Source organism: Homo sapiens, chromosome 3, assembly GCF_000001405.40.
Source record: "Homo sapiens chromosome 3, GRCh38.p14 Primary Assembly".
Taxonomy (NCBI): domain Eukaryota; kingdom Metazoa; phylum Chordata; class Mammalia; order Primates; family Hominidae; genus Homo; species Homo sapiens.
This window is the reverse complement of record NC_000003.12, coordinates 149,773,748-149,788,629: the sequence shown is the minus strand read 5'-3', so window position 1 is coordinate 149,788,629 and position 14,882 is coordinate 149,773,748. Positions and strand designations below refer to the sequence as shown.

Sequence of the window (14,882 nt, the reverse complement as noted above, 5' to 3'; positions counted from 1 at the left end):
ACTCTTTTACCTGAAGTTTTAAACTGCTAATTCTATAAATAAAAAGTAGGGGTAAAAGAGGTTATTCAGTGAAACCAACCTGAGCAAGATGGTGAGACCCCATCTCTACAAAAATATTTTAAAAATTTTCCGGGTGTGGTGGTGCACATCTATAATCCCAGCTACTTGTGAGGCTGAGGCGGGAGGATCAATTGAACCCAGCCTGTGCAAGAGAGTGAGACCCTGTCTCAAAAAAAAAAAAGAGGAGTTTATTCAAGAGAGCCAGGGCAGAAGTCACAGGACTGGACAACACACAGAGTTTAATTAAAAACTCTCAAGTTCCCTAAAATTTTACTAACGGTACTCTTCATGCTGTCAGGTAGAATCACATTTAGAGAATATCCCAGGCCTCAAAGAATGCAGTCATATCAGCTCTATCATGCTTGATCTATCTCAGGTTACCAAGGCTGATTTCCAAGTCATGTTAGTTGCTTTACTGAATAATTAAATATATACACATTTAAGTAGTACCTTCCCTACTTAACTATGTTTAATCATGTTACTTTGTGAAAGTTAGTTTGCCTTGAGAGAGATGGAAGATGCCACAGTAAGGGAGGGAATGAATCCCTGAAGTGTGTCTCTTTAGCATATCTAAATTTTGGTACAACTTAGAAATATCATAATGTGAACCCAAAACTTTTGTAAAGTTCAAAAACTTGGCAAGTAAGTGGTTTTTCTTTCTAAAAAGATACAAGTAGATATTATGTCTCATGAAATAAATCCAAAATAGTTGGCTTCTTTATTGTGCTCATATTTTTGTGTGCTTACAAGGTTCTGCTTGTGTGAAAAACAGAGAAAGACACTGGATAAATACAGAGATTATCTACTGTTAAATACATTCTTTAGACAATGCTTTTTCCAGCTTCCCTGTATATTACGCTTTTCTTTTAATGGTAATATAGACACATTTGGAAAAGAAATGGAAATAAGGGTAATACAAGAATAGTGGGAAAAGAACATTGTATTCTCACCACTCCTATTCAACATAGTGTTGGAAGTTCTGGCCAGGGCAATCAGGCAAGAGAAAGAAATAAAGGGTATTCAATTAGGAAAAGAGGAAGTCAAATTGTCCCTGTTTGCAGATGACATGATTGTATATTTAGAAAACCCCATTGTCTCAGCCCAAAATCTCCTTAAGCTAATAAGCAACTTCAGCAAAGTCTCAGGATACAAAATCAATGTGCAAAAATCACGAGTATTCCTATACACCTATAACAGACAGAGAGCCAAATCATGAGTGAATTCCCATTCACAATTGCTACAAAGAGAATAAAATACCTAGGAATCCAACTTACAAGGGATGTGAAGGACCTCTTCAAGGAGAACTACAAACCACTGCTCAACGAAATAAAAGAGGACACAAACAAATGGAAGAACATTCCATGCTCATGGATAGGAAGAATCAATATTGTGAAAATGGCCATACAGCCCAAGGTAATTTATAGATTCAATGCCATCCCAATCAAGCTACCAGTGACTTTCTTCACAGAATTGGAAAAAACTAGTTTAAAGTTCATATGGAACCAAAAAAGAGCCCGCATTGCCAAGATGATCCTAAGCCAAAAGAACAAAGCTGGAGGCATCATGCTACCTGACTTCAAACTATACTATAAGGCTAAAGTAACCAAAACAGCATGGTACTGGTACAAAAACAGATATATAGACCAATGGAACAAGACAGAGCCCTCAGAAATAATATCACACATTGACAACCATCTGATCTTTGACAAACCTGACAAAAACAAGAAATGGGGAAAGCATTCCCTATTTAATAAATGGTGCTGGGAAAACTGGCTAGCCAAAGTAGAAAGTTGAAACTTCCTTACACCTTATACAAAAATTAATTCAAGATGGATTAAAGACTTAAATGTTAGACCTAAAACCATAAAAACACTAGAAGAAAACCTAGGCAATACCATTCGGGACATAGGCATGGGCAAGGACTTCATGACTAAAACACCAAAAGCAATGGCAACAAAAGCCAAAATTGATAAATGGGATCTAATTAAACCAAAGAGTTTCTGCACAGCAAAAGAAACTACCATCAGAGTGAAGAGGCAACCTACAGAATTGGAGAAAATTTTTACAATCTACCCATCTGACAAATGGCTAATATCCAGAATCTACAAAGAACTTAAACAAATTTGCAAGAAAAAATCAAACAACCCCATCAAAAAGTGGGCAAAGGACATGAACAGATGCTTCTCAAAAGAAGACATTTATGCAGCCAAAAGACACATGAAAAAATGCTCATCAGGCTGGGAGCGGTGGCTCACGCCTGTAATCCCAGCACTTTGGGAGGTCGAGGTGGGTAGATCATGAGGTCAGGAGCTCGAGACCATCCTGGCTAACACAGTGAAACCCCGTTTCTACTAAAAGTACAAAAAATTAGCCGGGCGCGTTGGCGGGTGCCTGTAGTCCCAGCTACCGGGGAGGCTGAGGCAGGAGAATGGTGTGAACTCAGGAGGTGGAGCTTGCAGTGAGCCGAGATAGCACCACTGCACTCTGGCCTGGGCGAAAAAGCGAGACTCTGTCTCAAAAAATAAATAAATAAATAAATAAATAAAAGCTCATCATCACTGGCCATCAGAGAAATGCAAATCAAAACCACAATGAGATACCATCTCACACCAGTTAGAACGGTGATCATTAAAAAGTCAGGAAACAACAGGTGCTGGAGAGGATGTGGAGAAATAAGAACACTTTTACACTGTTGGTGGGACTGTAAACTAGTTCAATCATTGTGGAAGACAGTATGGAGATTCCTCAAGGATCTAGAACTGGAAATACCATTTGACCCAGCCATCTCTTTACTGGGTATATATACAAAGGATTATCAATCATGCTGCTATAAAGACACATGCACATGTATGTTTATTGCAGCACTATTCACAACAGTAAAGACTTGGAACCAACCCAAATGTCCATCAGTGATAGACTGGATTAAGAAAATGTGGCACATATACACCATGGAATACTATGCTGCCATAAAAAAGGATGAGTTCATGTCCTTTGTAGGGACATGGATGAAGCTGGAAACCATCATTCTCAGCAAACTATGGCAAGGATAGAAAACCAAACACCACATGTTCTCACTCATAGGTAGGAACTGAACAATGAGAACACTTGGACACAGGGTGGGGAACATCACACACTGCGGCCTGTCGTGGGGTTGGGGGAAGGGGGAAGGACAGCATTAGGAGATATACCTAATGTAAATGACGAGTTAATGGGTGCAGCACACCAACATGGCACATGTATACATATGTAACAAACCTGCACGTTGTGCACATGTACCCTAGAACTTAAAATGTAATAAATAATAATAATAATAATAAAGAACATTGTATTAACTTTTCCTTCTTTGGAAAAGAACTCTTACGGAAGCCATAATCAATATTTTCTATGGTATATACCTCCAATTTCTATTAATACAGGAGCCAGTCCTGACGATTTATTGCTGATGGTGTTGCGGTTCACTGTGTTCCTATAAACCATAGCATGAGGCACTGCAAAAGTGTATGTTTTTGTACAACATGCAGAGGCACTATCACTTTTGCCCCCTTCATTTTAACCTGTGTTATCATGGAAACGATTGCTTAAGTTTTGTCCACTGTTTTCACCCAGTGCTTAGAATAGTACTAGATAAGATATATAGTAGGCTGTACATAAATAGGTATTAAATAAATGAATTGATAAAGGTTTGAGAGGTAAAGTATGGAAATTAACAAGATGGTATATGATTGTCTGCAATTCATAGCAAGGTACTGAGATGCATTTCAGGGATCCATTCTCTCCCTTACTGTGGCATATCCCATTTTTCTCTACTCTTAGGGCAAAGCACTCCCCAGTATTCTTGGCTTTTCCCCTGACCAACATCATGGTTCTTAGTTGGAAGCAGCAGAAACAAAGTCTAGATAATTTAAGCAGAAAATAAGTATTGAAAAGCTATTGAGTAGTTTTCGGAAGATTGGAGAATCAGTCTTAGAGATTATGCAGCCAGAAACAACATCTAAAGCACGCCCCAGAACTAATCTGGGAAGGTCACCACTACAGGCAACACTGAGCCCTCAAAACAGGCACTGGACATGCTGCCAGCCCTGCTGCCAGGCCGGCAACTTCAGAAATGCCATTGCCTAGAGACTTTCCTGTGTCTGTTGCTTCTCTGCCTTATTGGCTCGTAATTCAAAGTTGGGGTGGATAGGTAGGTCTGATTGGGAGCACCCTGTCACATGTCCATGCTCTACTGCAAAGGGGGCAACTATCCAGCAGGTTGTGCTTTTCAGAGCGTGAAATGGGCTCAGCCTCCCTAGGACTCCTTCTGGTTTCCCTGCCTCCTTCTATAACCAGACTTGTACCAACCAAGTGCTGGGGTCAAAACATAGTTAATCCCTCCTGACATCCCTGGAATGTTGTGAAAAGTTGTTTTATGCTGAGAGATTGAGTTAACTGTAGTACCATTGAGTAGATGTTTATCAGATAAGTTAGAGAAGTTTGTACTATCTTGACAAGTCTAAATTTGATTCAAAATGATAAACATTTTAGCTTTCGAGAGGTACTGTTAATGTATAAACACCAAAATCCAATATATGTGGTTTTACATTTATGCATTTTTATACACAAAAACATGTATAAACATGTTTCTTTAAAATTTACACATGAAAGCATGTTTCTTAAAAATGGCCCTCTTTTCTAAGATGAGTCATAACAAAAGGTATGAAAAGAATCTGGTGAAGAAAGGTGTTCCAATTCAGTGTCCAAGACTCCATGGATAATCTCTCCAGAATGACTACCACACAAGAGGAGAAGTTTATGGAGACATCTCACTGGAATTCATTTGGTTCAACAAAAACAAATATTACTTCCCCTTTTGTTCACTCTGGAATAGTTCAGCAAGCTTCTGCTTACTTAGTGCTGTAACTCCAAAACAGCAAAATATAAAAAAGCAGAACTTGAGAAAAAATACAGCAGTACATTCAAAACTTTCATTAACTTGTTTTCTTTCAGTCAGTTCTGTTTAGCTTTTCCTTTCTTATTGTTAAAGTACATGTATGAATTTACAGTAAGTTTGCATTTGTTTTTTGAAGGTAAGCATGGAATTATTCTCATGAGATAGAACGTATTTGTTTTTATTGAAAAGTAAGATACTTTGTGTATATCTCTTGGGTTGGTTTGTTTGCATCTCAGTTTGTTTATAAAGGAAAAAGTCTAATTTTGTACATGTCCAACAATGATTTGTGTGTGGTATTATTATTTAATAGCGTCTGACTTCGTTGGTTGTGACTGACCAGCCTTCTGTGATTCAGAATACTTGGGGAGGAGTATCATATAGACAGAGAGGTAGAGATGCCTTCTCTTATGTGGATAAGGTGGATTAGCAAGTTGCTATTAATTGGCATCTACCTACTCCCTCGTCATACAACCAAATTAGAAAATATCGACAACTAATGTGCCTCACTAGAACTCAAAATGGGTTTTCCCATAAAAACAAGGTTTATACAAAGGTGAGTATGTAGAGTTAAAAAGTGCAATGAGAACTATTATCCAGATACATTATTGATTAAAAAGGCCTGGGATGTCATTCAACATTTATTATTTATTTATGTGATAAAAAGTTCCTGAGCGCTTAAAAAAAAAATGAACAGACTCAGTAGGTGTTAATTTTCTTGAGACTTAAGAACCTGGCTTCATTAATAATTAGTAATATTTTCTTCCTTGCACTTTTTATTTTCATCTAAAGATTGTCAGATCAGCTGGGCACAGAAGCTCACTCCTGTAATCCCAATACTTTGGGAGGCTGAGGTGGATGGATTGCTTGAGGCCAGGGGGTCCAGACCAGCCTGGACAACATAGCTAGGCCCTGTCTCTACAAATAAGAATTTAAAATGTAGCTGGGTTTGGTGGTGAGTGCCTGTACTTGGGAGGCTGAGGTGGGAGGATTGCTTGAGTCTAGGAGTTTGAGGTTACTGTGAGCTCTGATAGTGCCACTGTACTTCAGCCTGGGCAACAGAGTGAGACCCTATCTCAAAAAAATTGCCAGATATTTTGCAGTTCTCCCTTATTACTTGTTCCAGAGTCAGTTATATGTATACTAAGTTATACATGCTTATCTTTATAGATATAAGTATACGATTATTCATATTCTGAGAAGCTTCTTTTTAACTTATCTAACCTCACACACCTAGTTAACTTAAGAGTGACTTGAGAGCTGGGAATGGAGGAGAATTCTTTCCCCAGCTACTCAGGAGGTGGGAGACTGCTTGAGCCCAGAAGTTCAAGACCAGCCTGGGCAACATAGTGAGCCCTAGACTCTAAAAAAAAATTTTTTTTTTAAAGAGTGACTTGGGACTCTGTTATTTTGTTTGCATGTTATTCTATTTGGATTTATTTTGTCATTTGTTTGCATTTAATTTGTTATTTGCATTTAATTCTAAATATAAATTAGGAATTTTTAAAGAAATAAAAAAGAGCTATTACATAAAATATAATTTTTCTCTCTTTCCCACTATCTTTTTATTCAGTTTTCATAGGAATTTCTGCCTGCCCGTAAATATTATCTACATTAGCTTGAACAGATACTTCCCTTATGGAACCATAGGAAAGCACGGCGTGGCAAAAGTGAAAGAGTCAATCCTATGTCCTTTAAATTTGTATTGCATGTGTTTATGAGAAACTATCATGAAAAATTGTTCTAAGCACTTTAGGCTCAGTGGGCAGCTCAGCTTGCTGATCTGGCTTCATGCACAGCCACAGAGGGACTGAAACTGTTCCTAATCACTTCAGTCACTGAAATGGGCCCTAGATCAAAGTACTGCAGCCTTAAATTTCATCAGTAACATCACTCCTCAAAGGCTTTTTGAAAAAGGTCTGCATGTTGACCATATTACTGCAATGTGTTATGTGGGAGAGGAGCATTTAATTTATTATAAGTCTGCAGGACTGGGGGGGCCCTGGAGGAACCAGAGAGGGATTCTGATGGAAGAAATAGAGGAAGGAAACAAAGGAGGGGCAAGACAGCATTGACAGGTTGGAGCCCCCTGAAGAACCTGAAGGCCAGATACCAGGTTCTGAGAGAGTCCCGCATTCATGGGCATTCCGTGATGGTGCCATGCACTGACATCTGCCAACCCAACAACAGGCCGTTGCAGAAAAATATTATTGTCCTGAATCTGCTAAAGAGGAAGTAAAGTCAGTTTCATTTTTCATGAGAAAAGTGGAAATGATAATAATCTTTTCCTCCCCACTTGCTTCCCATTTTTCCTATTCGCTGTATTTTGAGTTTTGGTTTGGCTTGTTTAAACTGTTGTTAACAGAAGTATTAATATTTTCCTCAAACTTTCCATCTTAACTCTGCTTTGGATATCTCAATTCTACTTGCTTTCCTACTTAGATTACAAAATGAAAGAAACAAAAGAAACTTTTCTAAACCTATGTTTGGTATTTCCCTTTTTAAACAGTAAAAGTAGGCCAGGTGCAGTGGCTCGCGCCTGTAATCCCAACACTATGGGAGGCCAAGGTAGGAAGATCGCTTGAGCCCAGGAGTTTGAGACCAGCCTGGGCATCATAGTGAGACAAAAAAAAAAAAAAAAGGAAGACAGACAAGAAAGATAAATAATAAAAGTAAATATATTTGGCTTTTAAAAAAGTCAAACCATACGGACAATGAAAAGCACAAAATGATAAGCAAACACTCCCTCCCACTCTCAACTCAGTTCCACTTGCCAGGAATAACCTCTCAGAAAAAAAATAATAATAATTGACTGAAGATTTCAAATCCACAGTATTCCAAATTAAAGTACTGCACAACAGAGGAATGTTTTCTAAACTAACACCTCCATAAGCACAGGATGGATATAAATTATCAACACTCTTATGTATCTGGGTCTGTAGACTAAGAAGTCAAAGGGTCTCAAAGCCTTGCCAAGTCTTTTTCACTTCACTCAAACAGGGGGACCTGTTAATATCTCAGGACATAAGAGCTAGACTCAGACCAGAAGGCAGAGAACTCAACTGACTATTGCTTTCACATTAACACCCATGTCGTGGAGCTAGAGGTGCTCAAAGCTACCCTCTGAAATGCTTGGCCCTCATCTGAACCTCCAGACAATAAGTTCCCTCCTTTTCTTTCCCTTTAGGAAGAAGACAAGCCTACTCTATACGTGTTCAATGCTGTAACTCAAGACACAATGCCAGTAATGGAGAGCATTTCCCTTCTTGATAAAACAGTGTCTGATCTGAGAACACTGGTAACTCTGAGATGTGGCCTCCCCGTGAGTGTCTACTGTCTCCGAACCCCAAGGGGCCTGGAGATGTATGATTGCAACACCCTCAAGGACTACCAGACTGATATTGGTACTGCCCAGTATATTTGATATCAGCTACCATTTGGCACTAGGGTCCTTTGATACCAGATTTTGCAGCTTTTCAAGAGAAAATAGAAATCTAGATTTTCATATACAATCTGTTAACTTTATTTACATATTCACTTTAAAACAGTTAACACATTTACATAGTTTAAATATCAGAAGTGAAAAGGATGTGTAGTGGTAAGTTGCCCTCCCTCTCCTGGCCTTACAAGCACTTAGTTCCCTCCTCACAGGCAACCATTATTGTTTTGAAGATTTACAATCAAAACCATTTCCAAATTAAATCTGAACAAATGGAGGCATTATTTCTAAATGGAAACCTCTGTAAGTTCAGTATGGATATGAATTATCAACATTTCATTCTTGGGTCTGGGTCTACAGACTAAGAAATAAGGAGGGTCTCATAGCCCTGTCAAGTCTTGTTCTCAAAGCAGATTCATTAATATCCTCAGGGTGGAAGAGCAAAACTCAGGCCACTTCATCTCTTCTCTTTCAAAATGTACTTCAAGCATGTATAAATGCAAGTTCAAGTACATATTCTTTTTCCCGTTTTTAATGCAAGGTAGCATATGATACATGCTATTCTGAACCCTGCTTTGGGCAATTTCATCTTAAAATGTTGCTGATTATATTAAAATAATCTTTTTAACAATGTGACGCCAATGCTATACTGGCTGAAAATCTGCATTAGTGGAATAGTGTTTATCTGTTATAGAAATTACAACCTCTCTCTAAATACTATACCTTGGCTGGGCATAGTGACTAGTGATTCATACCTCTAATGCTAGCACTTTTGGAGGCCAAGAGAGGGGGGATCACTTGAGCTCAGTAGTTCAAGACCAGCCTAGGCAACATAGTGAGATGCTCATCTGTACAAAAAACAAAAAACAAAAACAATAGCAGGATGTGGTGGTGCCCAGCTGCTTGGGAGGCTGAGGTAGGAGGATCACTTGGGCCAAGAGGTTAAGGCTACAGTGAGCTATGATCACACCACTGCACTCCAGCCTGGGTGACAGCAAGACCCTGTCTCGAAAAAAAAAAAAAAAAATCTGTACTTCCAGGTCACGTCTGCAGTAGCCAAACATCAATAAGACAAACAAAAAAGGCTGTCAGATTTGTTTTAAGCATACTAAAAAATGATTTGACGATACAGAGATGATTAACATGGCCCCTACCTGACGATGACACACAAGTTCATGAAACATTTCACACTTTTTAAAAATGGTTAGAACCTTATAGAAATTACTTGAAGTAAATGAATCCTTGCTGACAATCAGCACAACCTTAGGTAACATTGTGTTGTAACATTGCAATGAAATTTGAGTTCTCCCAACATATACATAGGGCTTTGTAGGTATCCTTAGTTAAGTAGTTTTGCTTTATATAACTGCTAAATTTGCATTTATTGATACTTCTCCTGACTGTAGTATTTGCTTAGCATTATTCTTTCCTATTATTTTAAATTAAGGCTCTCAAAACTTTGACATAATTTTTTTCCTTGTTTTTGATCAGGGGAAGTGAAGTTCTACAATTTCTCCTCAGAGTACTTTGCTATAGTGCACATACCTGCTCTGCACGCTTGCTGGAGGCTGAACCCTGCCTAGAACATGATGGGGGCTCACATAAGGAAGGGCACACAGTGGCATTTGTCCCCAACTAACTGATAATTTAGTTATTTAATGAAGTACCAAAGGATGAAACAAAACTAGGAAAAACTCTGGTTGACTATTCTTCAGGCTTATACTGTTCAGATTATAATGTGACGTTTTAAGCTGGAAGATAATTTGAATTGACCCAACCCCAACTTTTACAGACTTGAAAAAAAGCAAATCATCTTAATGATTAAATGACTTGCTCAGCATGTGTCAAGGACAACATACCTACTCCTTAAAATGACCCTCTGGGAGTAGGAACTTTAGGAAATGAGGGTGTTCAGATATAAGGTTAAGGGTCTAAGCATGACCTGAGTAGGCTGTTTTGGCCACCATGAGGACACAGAGCATCAGAGGAGAGGCAAGGAAAGAAGAACCTCAAAGGGAAGGGAGGAAGGGCCATTTGGCCTGCTTCATATGCTTCATACCTTTACCTAAAGCATAACTAGTATTCCTCAAGCAGCCAGCTCACCTTTTTTAAAACTAGAAGGTAAAAAGAGTCCTTGATCAGCTTCTCTTACAGGACCTCTCTTTCTAGCCAATGAATCATCCCTGCTGCTATCAGGAGTTGAACCTTGGCCCCTTTTCCACAGGCAGTGGAAAATCAGAAGAGTTTGGAGAAGCAGTCATGTCCAGGTTGAAAATCAAAGATTTAAGTAGCTCAATTAATCACTGTACATACTAGCTCATACAAACATTTGCAAAGCTGCCTCTGCACTCTGGGTGTTTACAGTAAAGTGATAGAAATGAGACATGTATACACACTCAGTTAAAATCCAGTAAATCAGCTCAATGCAGGCTGAAGGCATGTAGGGAAGGCATTCTGGAGAAAGTGGGGCTGGAGCACACACAGATGTGGGAACCATGGATCATCTGAGAGGAGGAAGGGAAGACATTCCAGGGAGGGACAGAAAGCAGGAGACTGTTCTGCAGAGCGGAGGAACCTTGCTGAGAGCACTGGGAAACACAGCCAAGGGCAGAAGGAGGAGGGTCTTAAGGTGAGGGAACAGAGCTCAGCCTTGCTGTGGCTGCAGCTAGAGCCATGCACCTTCTGGAACAGGAGTGTTTTTTTGTTGTTGTTGTTGTTGTTGTTGTTTGTTTTTGAGTCACAGTCTTGCCTGTTGCCAGGTTAGAGTGCAGTGGCACGACCTCAGCTTACTGCGACCTCCGCCTCCCAGGTTCAAGCGATTCCCCTGCCTCAGCCTCCTGAGTAGCTGGGACTACAGGCACGCGCCACCACTCCCAGCTAATGTTTTGTATTTTAGTAGAGACGGGGTTTCACCCTGTTGGCCAGGATGGTCTCCATCTCCTGATCTTCTGATCTGCCCGCCTTGGCCTCCCAAAGTGCTGGGATTACAGGCGTGAGCCACCACACCCGGCCTAGAACAGGAGTGTTTTAGGAGAGGTTTAATCTGGTAGCAAGCAATATGAAATATAGAAAGGAGTGAGGAAAGCCTGCAGGCAGGGTGATACACTAACTGGCATGTTTGATAATCCCAGTATTAATTAGGTCCATTAGCAGTGGAAGAGACAAATCTGTGAAACACAGAAGGCAGAACAGGACAGAACATCATGCTAGATCACTTTTTTTTTTTTGAGACAGGGTCTCACTCCATCACCCAGGCTGGAATGCAGTGGCACAACCTCAGCTTACTGCAACCGCTGCCTCCTGGATTTGAGTGATTCTCTCACCTCAGCCTCCTGAGTAGCTGGGACTACAGGTGCATCCCACCATGCCTGGCTAATTTGTGTGTGTGTGTGTGTGTGTATTTTTTATAGAGACAGGGTTTCACCATGTTGGCCAGGCTGGTCTCAAACTCCTGACCTCAAGTGATCCACCCACCTTGGCCTCCCAAAGTGCTGGGATTACAGGAGTGAGCTACTGCACCTGGCCCTAGATCACATTTAAGTAGAGGAAAGAATCAAAGCTCTCACACTAGGACAGTGGTGGGGAAATTGAGGAAAGGAGCTATTTTCTGGGTTTTAAGCTTTAGATATGAGGAAACTCAGAGAGTACTTTTTTTTAAAAAAGTTACTCAGCTGGTCAGTTAGTGGCAAAGCTGTAAGTACAACTGAAGTCTTCTAATTTCCCTTTACTGCAAACATGGTGCTAGTGCTTGAGTGATGGTTTGGGTTAGCAGATACTGATCCTGCCCATGTAGGTGGAGACCAAGCCCTATGAGGGGTACATTCCTCAGAGAGTAAATATAGAGAGGAATGTCTTAAGGGCCAATGGCTGGCACTCAGGACATGCTGAGGTCAAGGCAAGCACACGGAAGAGTCAAAAAATGAGACATGGAAAGCTGTCAGAGTCAGGAGGAGAACTGGAACTTTGTATTGTAACAGATGATGAGACTGTTTTCAAGATGCTGGTAAAAGTCCAAAGACAATTCTGAGATAAAAAAGCTTTGGATTTGCTTTAAAGGTCTTTGGTGGGCTTAGAGAGAGCAGCTTTAATAAAGGAGATGGAGAAAGAAAGATTTTAGGGATTAAGAAGAAGATGAGTAATGAAGGGATAAGGGAATTCTGGTGGTAGAATATCTAATGACTAACTTATCATAAATCTATCATGATAAGTATATCTTAATATGTGTGATTTTGTGACTTGAGGCTTAGTGACATATCACACAGGTCCAATACATACATATACATGCACACACACACACACGCACACACACACCTAGTCTTACGTCAACCTGTATGGTACCAGATGCTCATTTTAGACCTGCTTCTAGCTCTGAAATCACTGCCCTGGCTTTTGCTTTCCTCTTTCTGATCCACATGCTTATCTGCTTGTTATTCTGTTTTTATTTCACATATATTCATAAACTGGCATTCATCCTTTCTGAAACAAGGAGTACCTAAACAAATGAGTGAATGAATTAATGCCTTTCTTTACAGATGATACCAATTGGTACTCTTCACTATAAACACCTCATAGGATATATTCATGGCTGCCTGGGCACATTGCACCTGAGAAACCATTCCAGGAGCAGGGTTGTGTCAGCTCAGATCCTGAAATCTGAGCTGGCTCCAGGGTCCTTTTACTAACCTTTAGGCTCATGGAGACCTATGGTGCTATTTTAATTCCTTTTATTGATGAGAAAACTGAAGTTCAGAGAAGTTAAGTGATCTGATCAAGATTACACTGCTAATAAATGATAATCATACACCCAGGACTGGGTTCTTTCCAACAATTTATACTGCCAAACCAGTATGCTTTTATTGATGGCCTTTAAGTTCTAATCAATGTTTTATTTTGTTTCTTCCATCACAGGAAGCTCAAACCAGAGAAACAATTTCCATATTCAGGAAGAAAAAGTCCAAATCAGATAGGCATGTGTTGACTCCCGGGGTATGAACGAGGAATCCAGAAACTTGGGAGTCAGGGGCCACATGTGGCAAGGTTGAAGATGATTGCCTAAATAGGCACTGTTGCTCCCATCTGCTGTCCTGTGTGGCCTAGGCATAGTAGATACGTTTGCAAGCACAGAATGGACAGATCCAGGTTTTGTAAAGTTAATACAATTTTGTGGGCCCTCTTTTTAAAAATCCAAAACTAAGACAAGAAAATTAGCAGGCTCTATAGAAGGTAGTGAGGGGCCCTAAAGCTTATTAGTTTTCCTCTCTCTTCAGTAATAGGTTTTAGTTGTATTTTCTGGAGCAATATAGCGTTTTTCAAGTAAATTTCTATTTCCCAACAGAATTCCTAGGCTTATGAAGGAATTTAACATCTGACAAAGAGGGCATTACAAAGCAACAGGGGTGAAAGGAAAATCTAATAAACAGTGCTGGCTGACTTGCTTAGAAATTCTCTGGATATTCAAAAGCTGAGCATTATCAGGACTGTTTCATTGCAAGGAACTGAACTGATGGTTATAACACCCGTAATATTTGCTACTAGACAGGGAATTAAAATGAAATAAAATACAGGGCCTGATGGAGGTGCCCCACCAATGTTAAGGAGATTTAAATCGTACGGTCCTCTCTGTAGTTTTCAGAATCAGGTCTCATTCAGCAGTAGGCAGGAGGGCTAGAGAGAGCTGAGACTCTGAGGATAGGCAATCATCTGGAGAACAGGTAGGCCAGGAAAATCCCATCTATAGACATCCAGCAGGGGAAGGTTAGCCTCATATAAGTCCTTCTGGTGGAAGGCCTGGAATAGGCAGGTCAGTCTGCAGCTGTCAGTCGGTAAGGCCGAGGAAGGCAGAGGGTGATCCTCAGGGAGATCCATCAGGGACCTTGTGAGTGAACCACAGCACCAAGGTAGTGAATGAATGAATGAATGAATGACAAAAGAGGCAGGAAACTAGATAAGCTGATGTTGACATCGAGGCTCTGACAACGTGACAGAAATCTAACCCCAGAGATTAGGATTTAGAGTAGGAAATTCAGAAATGAAATCTTAGTCTTAAACCCAAAAAGTGGGGTAGAATATTGGGATTCACAATATAGGGCACAAAGTGGGGACTTGCTCAGGAGGAACAGAAGTGACTAGAATATCTGACCAGGATGAACAGGAACACTGACTTCCTACCAACCCTCTGAGTTACTGACCTACATCTTTTTCAGTTTTTGTAGAGATGGGGTCTCGCTGTGTTGCTCAGGCTGGTAAACTCCTGGCCTCAAGCAATCCTCCCACCCAAAGTGCTGGGAATACAGGTGTGAGCCACTGCACTGGGACCCTGGCCTAAATCTTAATAAATTCCCTCCTACGGGAATTAAGGTTGTTCTCTGGACCTGGGGCTGGCTGGTCCTTCAAATGGAGACTGTGTAGCCTCGGCTGTGGAGGACTAAGGAGGCTGCGGTATGGGGCCAGGCTAAA

At 40.3% G+C, this 14,882-nt stretch overlaps 1 protein-coding gene and 1 pseudogene across 6 annotated transcripts in view; both read left to right on the top strand.

Annotated features, from left to right (window-relative positions):
• The window catches only part of ANKUB1 (ankyrin repeat and ubiquitin domain containing 1), a 31,455-nt gene that overhangs the window by 3,925 nt on the left and 12,648 nt on the right, over positions 1-14,882 (top strand). For 4 of the 6 annotated variants that reach the window (XM_011512798.2, XM_011512799.2, NM_001144960.3 and 1 more), the window contains exon 3: positions 8,175-8,391. The exons of 1 other annotated variant lie outside the window; for it this stretch is intronic. In XM_011512798.2, coding sequence (XP_011511100.1) covers positions 8,175-8,391 — 217 coding nt within the window. The remainder of the gene's footprint in view (positions 1-8,174; positions 8,392-14,882) is intronic. One more of the 6 variants, NM_001315505.2, reaches the window with a different exon arrangement.
• On the top strand, positions 9,522-9,621 carry RNU6-507P (RNA, U6 small nuclear 507, pseudogene; annotated as a pseudogene).